At 46.9% G+C, this 17,284-nt stretch overlaps 1 long non-coding RNA gene across 8 annotated transcripts in view, besides 2 other annotated features; it reads right to left on the bottom strand.

Moving 5' to 3' along the window:
- Nucleotides 1-17,284, bottom strand: part of LRRN2-AS1 (LRRN2 antisense RNA 1) — a 65,547-nt gene that overhangs the window by 17,992 nt on the left and 30,271 nt on the right. For 3 of the 8 annotated variants that reach the window (XR_007066814.1, XR_007066815.1, XR_007066816.1), the window contains 2 exons: nt 8,575-17,061; nt 3,503-3,675 (listed from right to left, as the gene is read on the bottom strand). This is a non-coding gene — a long non-coding RNA (LRRN2 antisense RNA 1). Of the gene's footprint in view, nt 1-3,502; nt 6,483-8,574; nt 17,269-17,284 lie in introns of those variants that run through there. The other 5 variants (XR_007066818.1, XR_007066820.1, XR_007066821.1 and 2 more) reach the window with 5 other exon arrangements.
- Nucleotides 11,371-11,901: an enhancer, noted in NCBI's record as "H3K27ac-H3K4me1 hESC enhancer chr1:204568953-204569483 (GRCh37/hg19 assembly coordinates)". NCBI's record gives its function as "activates a minimal SCP1, AML or CMV promoter by ChIP-STARR-seq in primed H9 embryonic stem cells {active_cell/tissue: H9 hESC(primed)}" and the evidence as "EXISTENCE:reporter gene assay evidence [ECO:0000049][PMID:30033119]".
- Nucleotides 11,902-12,432: an enhancer, noted in NCBI's record as "H3K27ac-H3K4me1 hESC enhancer chr1:204568422-204568952 (GRCh37/hg19 assembly coordinates)". NCBI's record gives its function as "activates a minimal SCP1, AML or CMV promoter by ChIP-STARR-seq in primed H9 embryonic stem cells {active_cell/tissue: H9 hESC(primed)}" and the evidence as "EXISTENCE:reporter gene assay evidence [ECO:0000049][PMID:30033119]".

Raw genomic sequence — 17,284 nt, 5'->3', positions numbered from 1 at the left:
CTCTGTCTCAAAATTTAAAAATATATATATATATATATATACTTTCAAAGTATGTCAAAAGTTTTTGGAGAGCAGAAGGACTTCTAAGATCTGTGTGCACTGGAGAGCTCCCTGTGCAGCCACTTTTATTTTTAGAGGCTGCCCTCTTTTTTTTTTTTAACTCAGGATAATTTGTGACTTTATTGTCAGGACTTCAGTTTTAAAACCTCTTGAACTATATTCTCTTGAGAACCACAGCTGATGATTCCTTTCTCTGAAGTTTTGAAGCATGCTTTGTAGAAGTCTGACTTTGTATTCTCACCTTTTCATTCCCTGGATCCTATCAACTCTAAAATTCTGTAGTGGCTTCCTCTGGAGGCTCTGATCACTCCCCTCAACAATCAGTTCTCTTTTGTTGGTCAGAATTAAGTCCAGAACAGCTTTTGTCCATGGGCTTTCTTTGCTTTTGAGCTTAGATGTCAGCTGGGCAAGTCAGGAACTCATCAGAGGCTTAACGCTGAGCTCAGCCCTGCACCAAGCAAGTGCCTAGATGGCAGGAGTCGCCCCTCACTGCTTCCTAATCTGCATGCCTATTTTACAGCATCGATGAGAAAACATGGTCTCCATGGTCTCCTTCTAGCCAAGTGGGCCATGTCATTCTCATACACAATGTCCTCCCAAGCCATTCTCCTTTATCCTCATCCAAATGCTGCTTCTGCCTCTTATTGACCTTCCGTGGCCCTGTTACAGACATGAATCAGTACCCCCACCCTCCACCTCCACCACATACTCCAAACCTTTGTGTTTCCCTCAGTTCCTTTATCTACAGCCCCCAGCCAAAGAACCCTCCGCCTGGTTGTAGAAATTTCCAGTCACCATAGTTTCCTACTCCCACCTTCAGTGCCACTGCACACTTAAAGAGACCTGGTTTGTGTTGCTTCTGGATGTCTCAGAGCTCTGAAAGAGCCATTGTTTGAAAATGGCAACTTCCTTCATGACAGAACACTAGTAGGTTGGGAGAACGCTAAGGAGCTATTCCTCAACTTTTAGTTGCCACCCTTATGAATCAAAAGGGCCAGGCTGCCAGCCTGCAAGGAAGGAAGAAAGACCCAGACTCAACCTATGTGAAAAGGATCATGTGTGGTCTATTTTGGAGGATGGCTAAGTTCATTGATAGTGACCTTCTCACTTGCTCTTAGTAATAGCTCAGTAAGTTAGGCCCAACAGATATTATCATCCTCATTTTTATAGGTAAAGAGACTGAGGCTTGAAATATTTAAATAACTTACGAAGGTCACACGACTAATAAGGTTAGAGCTGGAGTTAGAACCCAGGTCCTCTCACTCCGAATTCCCATGCCCTGTTCAGTTACCGCACTACCTTCTACATAAAGAACAAGCATGTGGATGGTGTGTACTCCTCTCAGGGGTGTGTAACACTCAACAGAAACAATCAGGGGCTAACTACAGAGGATAAAGAAGAGATGGCATCGCTTACGCCACTGGGGATTATAGGAGCTGCGTGTGTGGCAGGCAGGAGCAAGAGCCCACAGGGTGGTCCCAGGATGCATGGGGGTGGCACTGAGCTAGGCAGAGGAGCCACAGCTGAGTGTGTGCTTCACCATTCCAAAGCTCTAAGACCATTGATCGGTAAAATCCAAGCTCTCTCAGCTGAAGCCAGCCTCAAGGAGACATCTGGTTTAGGCCCCTACCTTCTAATGGCTCAAATACCATTACCTCTATTCATTTTACAGTGAGTGATGGAGGAGGAACTAGAACCCAGGTCTCCTGACTCAGGGAAGGGCTGAATTAAGGATCACTGGAAGACAGGTGGCCATTTTTCTCAGGGCCCTCCACTAGAGTCAGTGGGTCAAAGATGGACTTCCATGAATTGCTGACAAATTTTTCTGTGTACATGTAGATGTAACATTTCTGGAGAGAGGGCACTTTAGATTTAATAAGATACTGAAATAGGTCCAAAACCCAGAAAGGTCAAGAACTACTGCATTAAAGGGTGCGGGAATCATACAGCTGCAGGATTCGAGACTACAGCTGGGAGTTGCCAAGGGAAACAGAGCCACCCACAACAATTTGAGGGTCTGCCAGCGAGGTTTAGATCGAAGAACATTCACCATCTCTACACCTAAATGGAACCCAGATTTATGTATATAGACATTTCCTTTAACATAGGGAAAATGAAGTGAATTCCCAGTGTTTTCATTTGCAAAGCAAAGCCTCCTATGTCGGCTCTTAACCTTCAAGCTTTCAGCCCATCAAAACCTCCAAGCTTTCTGGAATTTCACTGCAATCCCCCGTATCATCCATGGGTCTCTGGCTCCTGAGAGCCACATTAGAGCTCACTCAACCAGTCAACAACACCTGTCCCACCACCACGTGCCCAGCGAAGGCAGTGGATTCAGCCAAGTGCCATGAGAAACCTAATCTAAAGCTCTTCTCTTCTTTAATCTTGGGTAGATTAGAATCACCCATCCTGTTCCATTGCTCTTTTATGCCTCTGCCCCAATTCCTCAACCTCTCTGACCCTACCATGCACACATGCAAATACAGGGGCTGTGTTCACACATGCATGTACATGTGCTTGCACAAACACACACAACTTTGTAAATGTCAGGTGCAGCTCTACTCCAGTCCTCCATTCTACACACACCATCTGCCAGAAGCTATTTTCAGCACCTAATAAAACTGTTTTAGAGTGAATCCTGGGGTGTTCTGCCCTTTGCTTCCCCAGGGCAAGAGCAACTGAGCTCCAGATGGAGCTAAATTTTGCTACCAAGTGAAGAGGAGGAGAAAGAGTCAACCAAGGGCTATCAAGAGACCCTAGTGACCTCCCCACAAGCAGTATGGTGTGTCTCAGCTTTGTACTTACTGTCCCTTACTATAACATCCTTGGGCTAGTAACCAAACCTCCCCACCTCACCCATAGGTGGCTACTACCTTACTCAGTGGTTCTCAAACCTGAGCACACATCAGAATCACCTGGAGGGGTGGCAAAATCACAGGTTGCTGGGCCTCATCTCAGAGTCTCCAATTCCCTAAGTCTGGAGTGGGGCTTGGAAATTTGCATTTCTAACACAAGTTCCCAAGTGATTGCTGGTCCAGGGACTACACCAAGAGCTAGTGACGTAACTCATGAGCTTGTTGTGAAGATTAAATGAGAAAACATGCAAAGCACCTGGCACATAGTAAGGTAGTGGGTCTCAACCTTGGCTGTGCATTAGAATCACCTGGGGAGCTTTAAAAAAACCAGATGCTCAGCACTGCAGACCAATTAAATCCAGGTCTCTAGGGGTGAGATACGTACATTACCACCTTTTAAAAAGCTCCCAGGTGACTTACATATGCAGCCAAGGTTGAGAGTCACTGAATTAAGTGCTCAATAAATTTACAACGCCCTTTATAAGCTACCCAGCCACCCCCATCCTAACAGCCTCCCTCTCCTCCTCCTTCCCCAGGGTCCCATCTCTCACTCTGGCTCCCATGGGAAGACCTGAGTGAAGCCTAACCTTGGCTTTGGCTTCTAGAGTGGATGCTGAGGACCACGTGGAAGATGAACTCCAGTTCATTCACTCAGTGGCTCATCCACTCAGGCGCTCCTTCACTCAGTCATCATCAACCCAGCTGCCTTTACGGCACCCACGAGGTGCTCGGGGGATGCAGGGATGAGTCAAATCCAGTGCTGTCCTCAGGAGTTGGTAACAAAGAACAAAAGATGTAGAATAATAGACTCTCAGATTCCGAAGGGTCCTCCAGCCCCACCTCCCACCCACCACAGAAGTTGTCTTTACAACCTCCCCATCATCTCTTCCCAGCATCAATACTTTAAGTGACAGAAAGCACATCACTTCACAAGGCAGCCCGTCCAGCTTAACAATGCTACTTGTTAGAAAGTTCTTCCTTAGACAACTGAAACCCACTGCCCTGTAACCCCCACTCGTTAGCTCTAAACTCTGGAAGCTCCTCATCCCAGGCTTGGCCTCCCACACGACTAGACTGCAGCTATCCAAATTCCTTCCATGGTAAGGAGAAAATACAGCCGAAAAATCAAGGGTGCGTTAATCCCGTCAAAGTACAGAGGTCCTCTCTATGAAAATTGACTGCCACGCATGGTGGCTCACGCCTGTAATCCCAGCACTTTGGGACACCAAGGTGGGTGGATCACCTGAGGTCAGAAGTTCAAGACTAGCCTGGTCAACATGGTGAAACCCTGTCTCTGCTAAAAATACAAAAATTAGCCAGGCATGGTGGTGAGCCCCTGTAATCCCAGCTACTTGGGAGGCTGAGGCAGGAGAATCACTTGAACCCAGGAGGCAGAGTTTGCAGTGAGCCAAGATCGAGCCATTGCACTCCAGCCTGGGCAACAAGAGTGAAACTCTGTCTCAAAAAAAAAAACAAAGAAAGAAAGAAAAGAAAAAAGAAAATTTACTTTCTGGCTCTCATAGCTTGTGCTGGGAAGCTAAAGTCAAGATAACACAAAAATATTCACTAATGAACCAACCACAATTTACCCTTAACCCCTCACTAATAGATTCTTTTGGTTTAATTCCAGCCTTAGCCTGACCCAACCTATTGTGTCAAAGGTCTTTGTTGGTCTCTGCTAGTTGTGGGTGGCTACCACCACACAAACAAATACACAAGCCAATTGCAAAGTGAAATTGCATATCCTGCCTCCCAAAATGCAGATTTTAATGAGGTTGATGAAATCAATGTTAGAGAAATTTTTACATCATCCACAAAGCCATTGAAAAGATAAGGAGCTAGGGGAGACCAACTAAACTGAAGAAAAGAAAACCAACAAGGATCATGACAACACAATTACCTCCAAGTCAACGATCTGGGTATCAAAAATTGAGAGGCCTTTGGAAAATGAATGAAGCATCGCAATATTTTTGCAAAACAAGGACCCTCTTTAAGATCCTGCTGCATTGGCTGGGTGAGGTGGCTCACATCTGTAATCCCAGCACTTTGGGAGGCCAAGGCAGGCAGATCACAAGGTCAGGAGTTCAAGACCAGCCTGGCCAATATGGTGAAACCCTGTCTCTACTAAAAACACAAAAATTAGCCAGATGTGGTGGTGGGCACCTGTAGTCTCAGCTACTCGGGAGGCTGAGGCAGGAGAATCACTTGAACCTGGGAGGCGGAGGTTGCAGTGAGCTGAGATTGCAACACTGCACTCCAGTCTGGGCGAGAGAGCCAGACTCTGTCTCAAAAAAAAAAAAAAAAGATCCTGCTGCAAAAAATCGAGGAAGCAATGAAGAGTGTTTCCCTCCAGGAGTCTAACACTTGGTTAAGGAGTCCAGTATTACCAGTGAAAGAATTTCTGTACTATGTCAAGTACAAGTCAGCGATGATCAAGAGTTAGATTAAGGGGAATGCAGATTAACAGTTCAGAAGGGGAGGTCCAAGAAGACTAGAATGGTTGGCGAAGGCTTTGCCAAGGAGGAGGGAGTGGGCTTGTTTTTGGAGGAGGATGTAGATCCACCATCACCACCACCACCTTCCTGTTGGCCTCCTATATGGATACCCGCCACACTCCAGTCAAGAGAGGCCCAAAAATCTACATCTAACATGCCAGGCATATTGAGGAATTAAATTGTGATGTATATGGTCAAGATCTCAGGAACATAGACATGCAATGGACCAGGCCATGTGGCAGAGGAAGCCAAGGGCTAGAGGCACCCCTGGAGGTAGTGGAGGAGGGCACATCTGAGAAACCACTCGAGCCCCCGGATGCCCTATGTCCAGCCCATCTGGGTGTGTGGCCAGCAGGCCGGTGCTGAGGGTCCCCCATAGGTCTGGCTGCTTCGGCCAGCAGGAGGATGGAGAAGTGCAAAGTCACATTTCACTCAGTGAAAGGGAAATCGGCAGCAATTAGCAGCCTTTCCTTCCATGCTGACGTTCCCTGTATGGGCAGGGAGGCTTCCCAGCTTTCATCCCGTACATCCTCTGCCTCCAGTGGGACCCCAGAGAGGCAAAACAGGTGGCAGGAATAGGAAGGCAGACCTTCCTGGGTACGGGACCCAAAGCAACACTGTGTTTCCACCTCTCAGCCTCCCCACTATTTTTATAGAGAAGAAACAGGCTAAGGTGAATGCCAAGGGGAAAGTAAGTTATAAATACATGCAGAGAGGAGAGAAGAAGTGGGGTATGTGTGTGGAGGAGGTGCAGTTAGGGAAAATGGCAGCTGTGATTCTTGGCTGTTTTGGTTTCAGTTAAGCACCCAGGGCCTTCTCCTCCAGCTGCCTCTCTGGGTCCCCACCCATCCCCAGGCAGGGGAAAGAGTGCCTGGGAATCCAGTGCTACTCAAATGGGGGGAGTCTGAGTCAGGGTTGACCTCTCACTTCCTATACCCCTTACCTTCACTTTGCTTTTTTTTGGTTTTTTATCCAAAGCCTTACCTTCCCCACCCTTACCTTCACTTTGCTTTTTTTTGGTTTTTTATTTTTATTTTTTTAAAAGAAAGGGCAGGTTCTATGTTTCGGTTTTGTGTATGTGTATGGTTTGTGTGTGTGTGTTTTAGTTTTGTCATTGTTGTTGTTTTTTGTTGTTGTTGCTGTTTGAGACGGAGTCTCACTCTCTTGCCCAGGCTCACTGCAACCTCTGCCTCCCGGGTTCAAGTGATTCTCCTGCCTCAACCTCCCAAGTAGCTGGGACAATAGGCACACAACCACCATGCCTGGCTAATTTTTATATTTTTAGTAGAGATGGGGTTTCGCTATGTTGGCCAGGCTAGCCTCGAAATCCTGACCCCAAGTAATCTGCCCACCTCAGGCTCCCAAAGTGCTAGGATTATAGGCATGAGCCACCACGCCCAGCTTGTTTTTGTTTTTTGAGACAGGGTCTCACACTGTCGCCCGGGCTGGGGTGCAGTGGCACCACCATAGCTTACTACAGCCTCAACCTTCTGAGCTCAAGCAATCCTCCCACTCTAGCCTCCTGAGTAGCTGGGACTACAGGCAAGCACCACCGTGCTTGGCTAATTTTTGTATTTTTTGTAGAGATAGATTTTCACCATGTCGCCTGGGCTGCTCTCAAACTCCTAGGCTCAAGTGATCGCTTGGCCTCCCAAAGTGCTGGGACTGCAGACATGAGCCACCGTGCCCAGCCCTGCTTTGCTTTTTTAAAAAATGTAAATCATCTACTTTCTTTTCTTCTTATTTTTAATGGTGGTAAAAAGCACATAACAAAATTTATCATCTTAACCATTTATAAGTGTTCAATAGTACTAAGTATGTTCACATTGTTGTAAACCAATAGCCTGAACTCTTCATTTCGCAAAACTGAACTCTGTATCCATTAAGCAACCACTCCCCATCCCCGCAAGCCCCAGCCTCTGACAACTGCCATTCTACTTTCTATCTCTATGAATCTGACTGCTTTAGATACTTCATGTAAGTGGAATCATACAGTATTTGTCTTTTATTTCACTTAGCACAATGTCCTCAAGGTTCACCTATGTTGTAGAACATGTCAGACTTTCCTTCCTTTTTAAGGCTGAGTAATATTCCCTGGCATGTATGTACCGCATTTTGTTTATCCATTCATCTGCCAATGGGCATTTGGGTTGCTTCCACCTCTTGGTTACTGTGAATAAGGTTCCTATCAACATGGATGTATGCAAATATCTCTCTTCAAGACTCTGTTTTCCATTTGTTTGGATATATACCCAGAAGCGGGATTACTGGATCATATGGTAATTCTATTTTTTATTGTTTGCCATAGTGGCTGCATCATCTTACATTTCCACCAGCAGTGCACAAGGGTTCCATTTCTCCACCTGCTTTGCGTTTGAGTCTTTGAGAACTAGGAGCTGCCCCAGCACCTCTGGACTTGAAATGAGAACCCAAGACCTCAGTCGGGTTTGGCCTGCAATCTCAGCCCTTCTCTGCCTTCTCTTCAGAACCCCCTATTTTCATTTCTGGAGAAATCTCATGGCCATTATCCAGCCCCTGAGGAGTCATGACCTCCAGCAGGCCTGAGAGGAACAAAGAAAACCAGGGCTTCCAAGGCAAGGAGTAAAACAAATACCCAAGAGCAGTGGTCTCAGGTAGAAGCTCCCACAGCAATGAGACAGATTTGGGATGAGGAAGCAGTGGGTTACCACCTCCTCCTGAGTTGGCTGCGTGGTCCACAGCAAGGGCAAGGAGATGAAAGGAGAGTCTGGACTTGGGAGAACAGGTGTGGAAGTGCAGGAACAGGCGTGGAGGTGCAATGCCACTACCACCTCTCCCCCATCCACCATGATATCCTCCAACCCAGCCTCTCTGCTTTGTGGTGGAGAGTCAGCAGCCAATAGTCTCATTCTAAAATCCAAATCTGGTGCTACCATGTCCTGGCTTTAAACGTTTCTGAGGCTCCTTACTGTCCTCAGACTAAAGTCCAGATGCCTTGCACAATTACAGCCCTGCATGACCTGGCCTCGGTATCTCATGCTGGCTCTCCCGTCACTCTGAGATCCAGCCACATCAAATGTGTTTCAGTTGCTAGAACAAACCACACTTGCTGTCTCCTTTGGGCCTTCATACACAATGTTCTCTCAGCTTGGAACATTCTCCTCCACACGACCCTTTTTCCTTACCTTTTCATCTGGTTAGTTCTACTCATCCTTTAGGTTTCAGCCTAGATGGCACTTCCTCCAGGAAGCCTTCCATGATGTCCTCCAGTTCTGAGTCAGGACCTCTTCTCAGTACAGCCACAGGACTTATTATACTAGGGGTGTAGTCTCCTGACTTGGCTGTGTCCTTAGAATACTCGGTTCCATGAAGAGAGCAGAGTCTTGTCCACTTCTTTCCCTAGCACCCAGAACATGGCCTGGTTCAGTGTAGGTGTTTATTAAAAGCTTTTTGAAGAGTGAATGAATGAGTGAATGTGTGAAGGACTGAACCATGAGGATGATGAGACCTGGGAGTGGTGGGTGGGCATCAGACTCCTACCCCCCCGCCCCGCACCCACACAACCACAGAGGGCTCTAACCTGCCACCATATCAAGTTAAAAATCAGCCAGAGCTTTTGATTTCTTTCTTTGCTTTTAGTGCCTCCCCAGAATTATGGATAATAAGGGTAGGGGAAAAAAGGGGCAGGGACCACACAAATGAAACACAAACCCTTGAGTTTCTTTGGAAAACTGCTCTAAAGCTCTGGGTGATGGGCATATTTAAATTTATCTGGCTTTACCCTGCCACAAGGCACTTAGTAATGAAGAATTCATGGTTTCTTCAAGCCCCTCCCTGACGTTCCAGCTTCCGACCAAAGATCATGTTCTGCCCCCTCCAGACCTCACCACCTCCCACCACCCCACCCACACCTCCTCTTCCTCTTGCTAGGAGATGGCTATGATCTATGGATGCCTCCCTGGGAGCCGGCCCGGCCCCCAGGCCCAAGGAGCCAGGTGTGACAGTGATGTATGAGTCTGGGCTGGACTCTAATTGGCCATTCCCTGTGGAGCATGGAGACTTAGCAAGACAAAAATCTACCCTATTGCATCCTGAATCTTTTCCTGTGGCTGATAAACAGCAAGTCCCTGAACTGGGAACATTCAGACGGGAAGAGCAATGATTCAGGGGAGAGGAGGGGAGGAAAGCCTGCCTCTAGAAGTGCTCGTGCTCACCCCAGGGCACCAGAGCTTCATATTCTAGGGACACAAAGGATTAGAAAATTTTATGTAAGTACTATTGTCATGTCATTTTAACTAAAAACAGCATGCGGAAGCCCAAAGAATTTCCACATCTATTAGCCCTTTCACTCCCATGCCGTCCAGGAGAGGATGGGAGGGGTGGGCAGGGGTCTCTGTACAACTAGAGCTACTATTATGGATTATTATTATTATTGCCCCCATTATTACATTGTTTATGACACATTATCCTCAATCCTCCCAAAAATCCCAGGAGGTAGGGAGTCGTTTGTGTCATCTAAAGCAGTATACAAAATTATGTTTTACAAGAAGACTAAGTATAATTCTGAATTCATGATTCACGAATAATTCATGATCTTGTTTTATTTTGCTTTGTGTTTGTTTGTTTGTTTTTTAATGGACTTTACTTTTTAGAGCAGTTTTAGGCTCAGGGCAAAATGGAACAGATGGTACAGAGAGTTCCCACACAGCCCTGCCCTCATGCTCACAGCCTCCCCCGTGCCCCACCACAGTGATCCATTTGTTACAATCAATGACCTACATGGGCACATTGTTGTCACTCGAAGTCTCCAGTTCACATTAGGGCAGCTCTTGATGTTATACATTCTGTGGGTTTGGATAAATGTATAATGACATGTATCGACCATTAATTACAGTATCCTACAGAGTACTTTCACTGCCCGAAACATCCTCTGTGCCGTGGTCAAGAGTTTTAACCTCACATTTAGACAAAGAAACAGAGGTCCAGAAAGTTTATGTGATTTACCCAGTGCCAGGTCCAGGATTCAAACCAGAGTCTATCGTATTCCCGAGCCCAAGCCCTCTCTCCCCTCTAGCACCAACCTCTCCCATGGCAGGTGGGTGAAATGTGGACCTTTGCTACCCAGCTAGCCAGGGGCAATGTTGGAATGGAAGTCCAAGATGCTTGCCCTAGTCCCAGATGTCTGCTGGGTCCCTCCCTGCCCTGGTGGCCAACCTCAGGCATTACCCATGACCCGGGGATAGACTGGGATCGCTGGATCAGAGATCCCAGAACATAAAGGAGACCTTTCAGTTTAGAAAGAAAATGTTGCTGCCCAGTGTCCTCTTAGGCTGGAGCCAGCTGGGAAATTCAAGTCCATCCTTCTCTGGACTTCCAGGCCCTGCAGTCCCACCGTGGCAGAGCATAGCAAGTCCTTTCTGTGCCATTGAGGAGAAGGGAGCGAGATGGTTACAAATTTCATAGTAATCATGTAAGTCAGGGTTCTCTGATGCCAAAGGGCCTAGACTAGAGGTGGCCAGGTGGCCTGGCCAGGGCTGGAGTCTGGCCAGATTTATCTAGCATCGAAGGTACTCCCAGCCCACTCCCCTCAAAAAAAATGCAGGTATGCACATATACATGCTCTTAATTACTCCTGACCTGGCGCCAGCCTCATCGTCGTGTCCTTTTCTAAAGGACCCTGTCTCCCACAATAGCCATTAAAACTGACAACTCTGAATGCAAGCCGTGGTAACAAAAGGTAAGCTCCCAGCCCACCACCCGCTGGCAAACTGGCATGTCAGTGCTAACATGCTCATCACCACCACTGTAGTCATCCTCGTCCCTACAGCCCCCACATTTGGAAAGCCATTCACAGAGGCTTTTCCCATCCACACCACAATCCCGTGAGGTGAGCAGAGCAGTATTTGTCTCTGCAGTTGGCAGATGGGAAATATGAGGCTCAGAGAGGTTAGGTGATCTACCCACGGTCACACAGCTGAGACTGGAATCTCAGCCTCTTTCTACTACCACACATAAAATTGCTTTGCAGCAAGCATTTCTCCAGTTACAGGCAAAACACCAGGCTGCAGAGCTATGATGCTTCGGGAGCACAAATGCCTGTGATGAGAAAGAACACAGAACTTCCCTTCCCTCCTCCAGGCGGGGAGGCCCAGCTGGAGTCTCTGAAGGTCTCTGAGGACTGTAGCTCTTCAGACTCCCTCTCGCAATGGCCACTCTGGGTCCCTCAGAAAAGAGGGACGTGACAGAGCAAGGTGGCGGCTGAGGAAGAGCAGAGCCCCACCCATCCTTCCTCTGCGCCCACCGTCCCGTCGTCCCCCGAATACACTTTGACTCCCCTTCCCTTCCCTATTTTGGGACTTAGGAAAGTCAGATAAAGTATCCAGGACCTCTCACCCTCATTCTTCCTGTCTGTCAGGAGCCATGTTAAGTCTTAATTAGAGGAAATCCAAGGCCATTTCCATGGGAGGAGAGCAGTAACCCCCAGCGCACACGCACAGGCTTGGGGGGACAAGCCCGGGCAGCGCAGAGGCCTGGGGCTCAGGTGAGTCCTCACAGGCGTGCTGCAGGCTGCCAGAGCTGGCCTTTTGGACCTGCTGGGCATCCAGGTAGGTGCAGCCTCCTTATCTATCTCTTTGCACTGGGGCTCAGAATAATGGGGGAGGATCCGGGAGCCATCTCGTGCGCAGAGTTAGTTCGGTCTGCAAGACGGTTTTCCCAGTGAAATGAAATTCAGTCACACCCAAAGTGAGAACAGAAAGGCCCAGATAGGTGAGGCTAAGACAGGTGCTCCACAGCTGTTCTAGGAACTGACCCTGCTCCATCACACACACACACACACACAGACATGCCAGTACATGCACACACACACGTGTACATGCCCCCCAGACTGCAGCTCCCCTCTAGAAGAAACGATTGTCAAGCATCACCCCACAAACCAGGAGCAGCCCCCAGTTCGTGCACTACCTCCCTCACCTCCCTCACTGCCCCAGCACTTAGACTCAGAGACCATAATCACACATGACTCCGGCCAGACCCAGGGGAGCCTGCTGTTCTTGCCCTCTCATATTATTTCCTGCTCTGAGCTAAGCTCCACAGTCATTCAGCCAAGCAGTGGAATAACTCCTCTTGCCAAAAATGCTAACGCGAGGTGAAATGGTATTAATAACAGTGCAGTGTCTACACAGGAGGTAATGGTACTGAAACGTTCTGCACTGGTCCACCTTCGCCTTCCATAGCCTGAGAGCCAAATACTAAGGACATTGGTAAACTTGAGTTCCTTCAGCAAGGGTTCTTAGCATACAGGTCTACTAGATAGGATTCTTCCATCCTTGATGGAAGAGAGCCATCCTTAGACAGTGTAGGAATGTCACATGGAATTGGGGAGGGGAATCCTTCTCAGAGGTTTGAAAGGAGACATTTAGAACAGTGTATGTGAGTTACAGGGAGGTTTCAACTCAATGGAAGAAAATTTTCTAACAGCCAAAGCTGGCTAACGATAACACAGGGTGTCTTGTGAGGTGGTGAGAGCTCTGTCACAGTATTTATTAAGACAGTACAGCACAGTGCTTAAGAGCTTAAGCTATAGAGTCAGATATACCTGGCTTCAATTCCTGGCTCTGTCATTTACTAATTGTGTGACTTTGAGGAAGTTACCGGAAATTCAGTTTCTTCGTTGGCACATAAATGTAGTAATACCTCCTCAGGTTTTGAGGCTTATATGAGATTAAAGCATATAAACTGGAGTGCCTCACACTAACTATTATTACAAATAAAAAGCAGAAGTTAGGTGGCTACCAGTCGGGGATATCAACAAAGAGACTCCCACAGTGGTTGAGGAGGAACTAGATAATCTCTGTGGTCCCATCTGACTCAAAGGACATATACATTCATTCTTTCTTTTTTTTTCTTTTCCTCATCCAACAAATGAAACTACCCCTGTGACAGAATGTATGCTGGACCCTGAATAGACAAGGGGTCAGAGACTGCCTCACTACCTCACTCATTCCTTGCCTTAAAGCCATCCCCAGGCCGGGGTGCGGTGGCTCACACTGTAATCCCAGCACTTTGGGAGGCCAAGGCGGGTGGATCACCTGAGATCAGGAGTTCGAGACCAGCCTGGCCAACATGGTGAAACCCTGTCTCTACTACAAATACAAAAAAGCAGCTGGGCATGGTCATAGGCGCCTGTAATCCCAGCTACTCAGGAGGCTGAGGCAGGAGAATCACTTGAACCCGGGAGGCAGAGGTTGCAGTAAGCAGAGGTCGTGCCACTGCATGCCAGCCTGGGCAACAAGAGTGAAACTCCGTCTAAAAAAAAAAAAAAAAAAAAAAAAAAAAAAAACCGCACCCAGCTGATCAGAAAGATGAAATGTTGGCATGCAACACACATGTGCGCACGCACACACTGCCACACTGCCATGCCCTCATCAGCATGACAAACACAGCCCCGTGCAAAGCATGAATGTGTCAAGACTTGGTTATTCATTTCTTCCTGTAGCTGACTCTGGATCATGTACCACTTCACAGGCTGTCTCTGGACCCTTTTGATGATAAGCCCATTGCAGCAAGATCTATCTGTCACAGCCTGGTGTACCATATATCTATTCCTTGGGCAGAAAAAAAAAAGGTAACAAAAATTGGTCTGCAGGCTGGCCCCATCATTACAAAAATGACTGGTTGGCAGAGATCGTCATTCCACAAGGAGTGTATGTTTCAGAAGGACAAAGCATAACTCTTCCATGAGTGGAATCTCAAATAACCAACCGGGCCTGAAGCAGCAGGTTGGTCCCCCCACGGTATGGCACCAAGTCAGGAGCTCAGGGTTGGTTTCTGCTGTAGAATGTTGGGCATTCAACAACGGCTGTAACCAGGTTAGTCTTGGTGAGTCCATGTGGCTAAGCCTATACCAAGCCCTCCACTGAGCCATCAGGGCCACTCTGTCCATGAGCCCACTGAGCAAACCCTGCGTCACTGGAGGAAGAGATTAATCAGCATCCTCAAAGTAGACCACCTTGTCTACCTGTCTACCTGACTACCAATAGGAGCTTGATGAATGTTCACATGAAACATAAATATTCTCATATTCTTTGGTCATTCTAGGAGGCCCATCCACATCTCTGTTATTCTAAACTTCCTTGTCACCAATCCTTGAATCTTACCCCTTCCACATTTTTGATCATCTGGCCAAACCATTAGCAAAGCACGTGCATTAGTAAGAGCCTTACCTCAGTCGATCTCTCCTTCCAAGTAAAGCAGTCAACAAGCAGTACTGCTCAAAGCACAGCCCACTAGAAGGATTTCTGGTCTCTACTTCGGAGGCTCTTCTGAATGGAGCTAGAAGGCTAGAGCAGTTTACTTTGAGTGGGGACGAACATATCATGAAGAGTTTTGCAAAGCAGTCATGGGTGTTTTCCTCCTCAGTCAACTCTGCATGCAGCCATAGATGCAGATTGAGGGAGAGGCAGCAGAGCAGCAGAAGTAGGCACACTGGAGCTTAAGTGAGTAGCTCATCCCATTTACACCAGCCATTGGTACCTGCTTGGCCCAGTCCCACTCATATCACTTGCACTTGATTATGGAGTGTGGCCGGACATGCCTGAATTCATGGCATGGTTCATGATGAGCAGTAGCTTGGGTTGCATGCTGATGTGGTGTCCAACGGTCAGGGGTTCAGTTTATTAGGGCCAATAAAAAGCCTAAACTACTTATTAAAAGGAGAATAATCACCTGAGAAAGAGAGTATGTCCTTGCTTCCAAAGCCTCGGGATTTCTACACGAGCAGAATAGGCAATAAAAAAAATAAAGAAAGAAAGAAACAGGCTGGGCATGATGGCTCACGCCTGTAATCCCAGCACTTTGGGAGGCCGAGGTGGGTGAAACACAAGGTCAGGAGTTTGAGACCAGCCTGGCCAATATGGTGAAACCCTGTCTCTACTAAAAACATAAAAAAAAATTAGCTGGGTGTGGTGGCACGTGCCTGTAGTCCCAGCTACTCAGGAGGCCGAGGCTGGAGAATTGCTTGAACCCGGGAGTCAGAGGTTACAGTGAGCTGAGATTGCGCCACTGCACTACAGCCTGGGCGACAGAGCGAGACTCCATCTCAAAAAAAAAAAAAAAAAAAAAAAAAGAAACAAAGCCTCAGGATCTCCACTGGGATTCTCCTATTGGGTTTGCCCCAAGTTCCACACAGCATCTGAAAATTGGTCTACCAAATCCAAAGAGACTGACCTTCCACCAAAATGGAGTAACAGAGACAGGATTTACCCTCCCACCTAAAACAACCAAAAGCGACAAAATCTGTGAAACAACCATTTATAAGATACAGTGTACCAGATAATGAAAGGCAATAATCCCTGAGAGATGGGAAAGAAACAAGGTCACTCCTGTGATTGCCCCAGCTTACTGTCTTAAGGGAGTTTCCAGGCCCCCTTCCAGGTAGGGAGGAGGGGCCCACGTGAGGCCTGATGGATTCCCCGAGTGGAGGAGACAATGCTGAGATTCTAGCTACAAGGCAGCTAGAATTCACAGGAAAGAAAACTGGAGAGGAAAGCACTGCACAGAGAGAGAATCCTGGAGATCTAAAGAGACAGTCCCCACCTTATGTATTCAGCTGAGTACCAATCAGCACATGTAGGTCAGGAATCTATGCGAGGCTGGGGAAAGAATCATCTGGAAGGATGAAAGTTTGCCGGGCGTGATGGCTCACACCTGTAATTCCAGCACTTTGGGAGGCTGAGGCAGGCAGATCACCTGAGGTCAGGAGTTTGAGACCAGCCTGGCCAACATGGTGAAACCCCGTCTCTGCTAAAATTACAAAAATAAGCTGAACTATACCTGTAGTCCCAGCTACTTGGGAGCCTGAGGCAGGAGAATCGCTTGAACTCGGGAGGCAGAGGTTGCAGTGAGCCAAGATCTCACCAGTGCACTCCAGCCTGGGTGACAGAGTGAGACTCCATCTCAAAAAAAAGAAAGAAGAAAAAAAAGGATGAAAGTTTAGCCAGGCACAGTGGCGCACACTTGTAGTCCCAACCACTTGGGAGGCTGAGGTGGGAGGAGGCTCAAGACCAGGAGGTCGAGGCTGCAGTGATGATTGCACCACTGCACACCCACCTGGGCGACAGAGCCAGACCCTGTCTCAAAATAATAATAATAATAATAATGATGATAATAATAATAATAATAATGAAAGGGAACAGTGCTCAACACTCACACAAGCTAGGAATGGTGCCTGTTCCTACAGGCCAGACTAGAAAGTCCCATAATTCATGGGGCATTAGATAAAGTACATACAAGAGTCTTGCTTTTGTAGTGGCTAATAATTAGCCCTAGACCCTGGTTTCTCAACTTTCTCAATTAATAATTAGGCTGAATAGTTCTTTATTGTATACCTATTCTAAGCATTTACATACTTTTTACCAGAGCTCCAAAATACATGAAGCAAAAACTGATAGAACTGCAAGGAGAAATGGACAAACCCAACTCTTAATTATAGTCAGAGATTTTAATATCCTCTCTCAATAGTTGATAGAACAAGTAGTCAGAAAATTAGCAAGGATATAGAAGATTTGAATGCTATCAACCAACTTACCTAATGAACATTTCAAGGACACTCCATCCAACAACAGAGGACACATTCTTTTCAAGTCTTCGTGAAACTCGTATCGAGAAATCATCTTCTGGGCCATAAAATAAAACTCAATAAATTTAAAAGGATTTATGTCACACTAAATATATTCCCTGACCACAGCGGAAATAAATTAGAAATCAATAACAGAAACGTAACTAGAAAATCCCTAAATATTTGGGAATCAAATAACAAATTCTAAACAATCCATAGGCCAAGGAAAAGGGAAATTAGGAAATATTTTGAATTGAGTGAAAACAAAAACACAACAT

Source organism: Homo sapiens, chromosome 1 (genome assembly GCF_000001405.40).
Source record: "Homo sapiens chromosome 1, GRCh38.p14 Primary Assembly".
NCBI lineage: Eukaryota > Metazoa > Chordata > Mammalia > Primates > Hominidae > Homo > Homo sapiens.
Note: the sequence above shows the minus strand (reverse complement) of the source record. Positions and strands in the feature narration are given on the sequence as shown.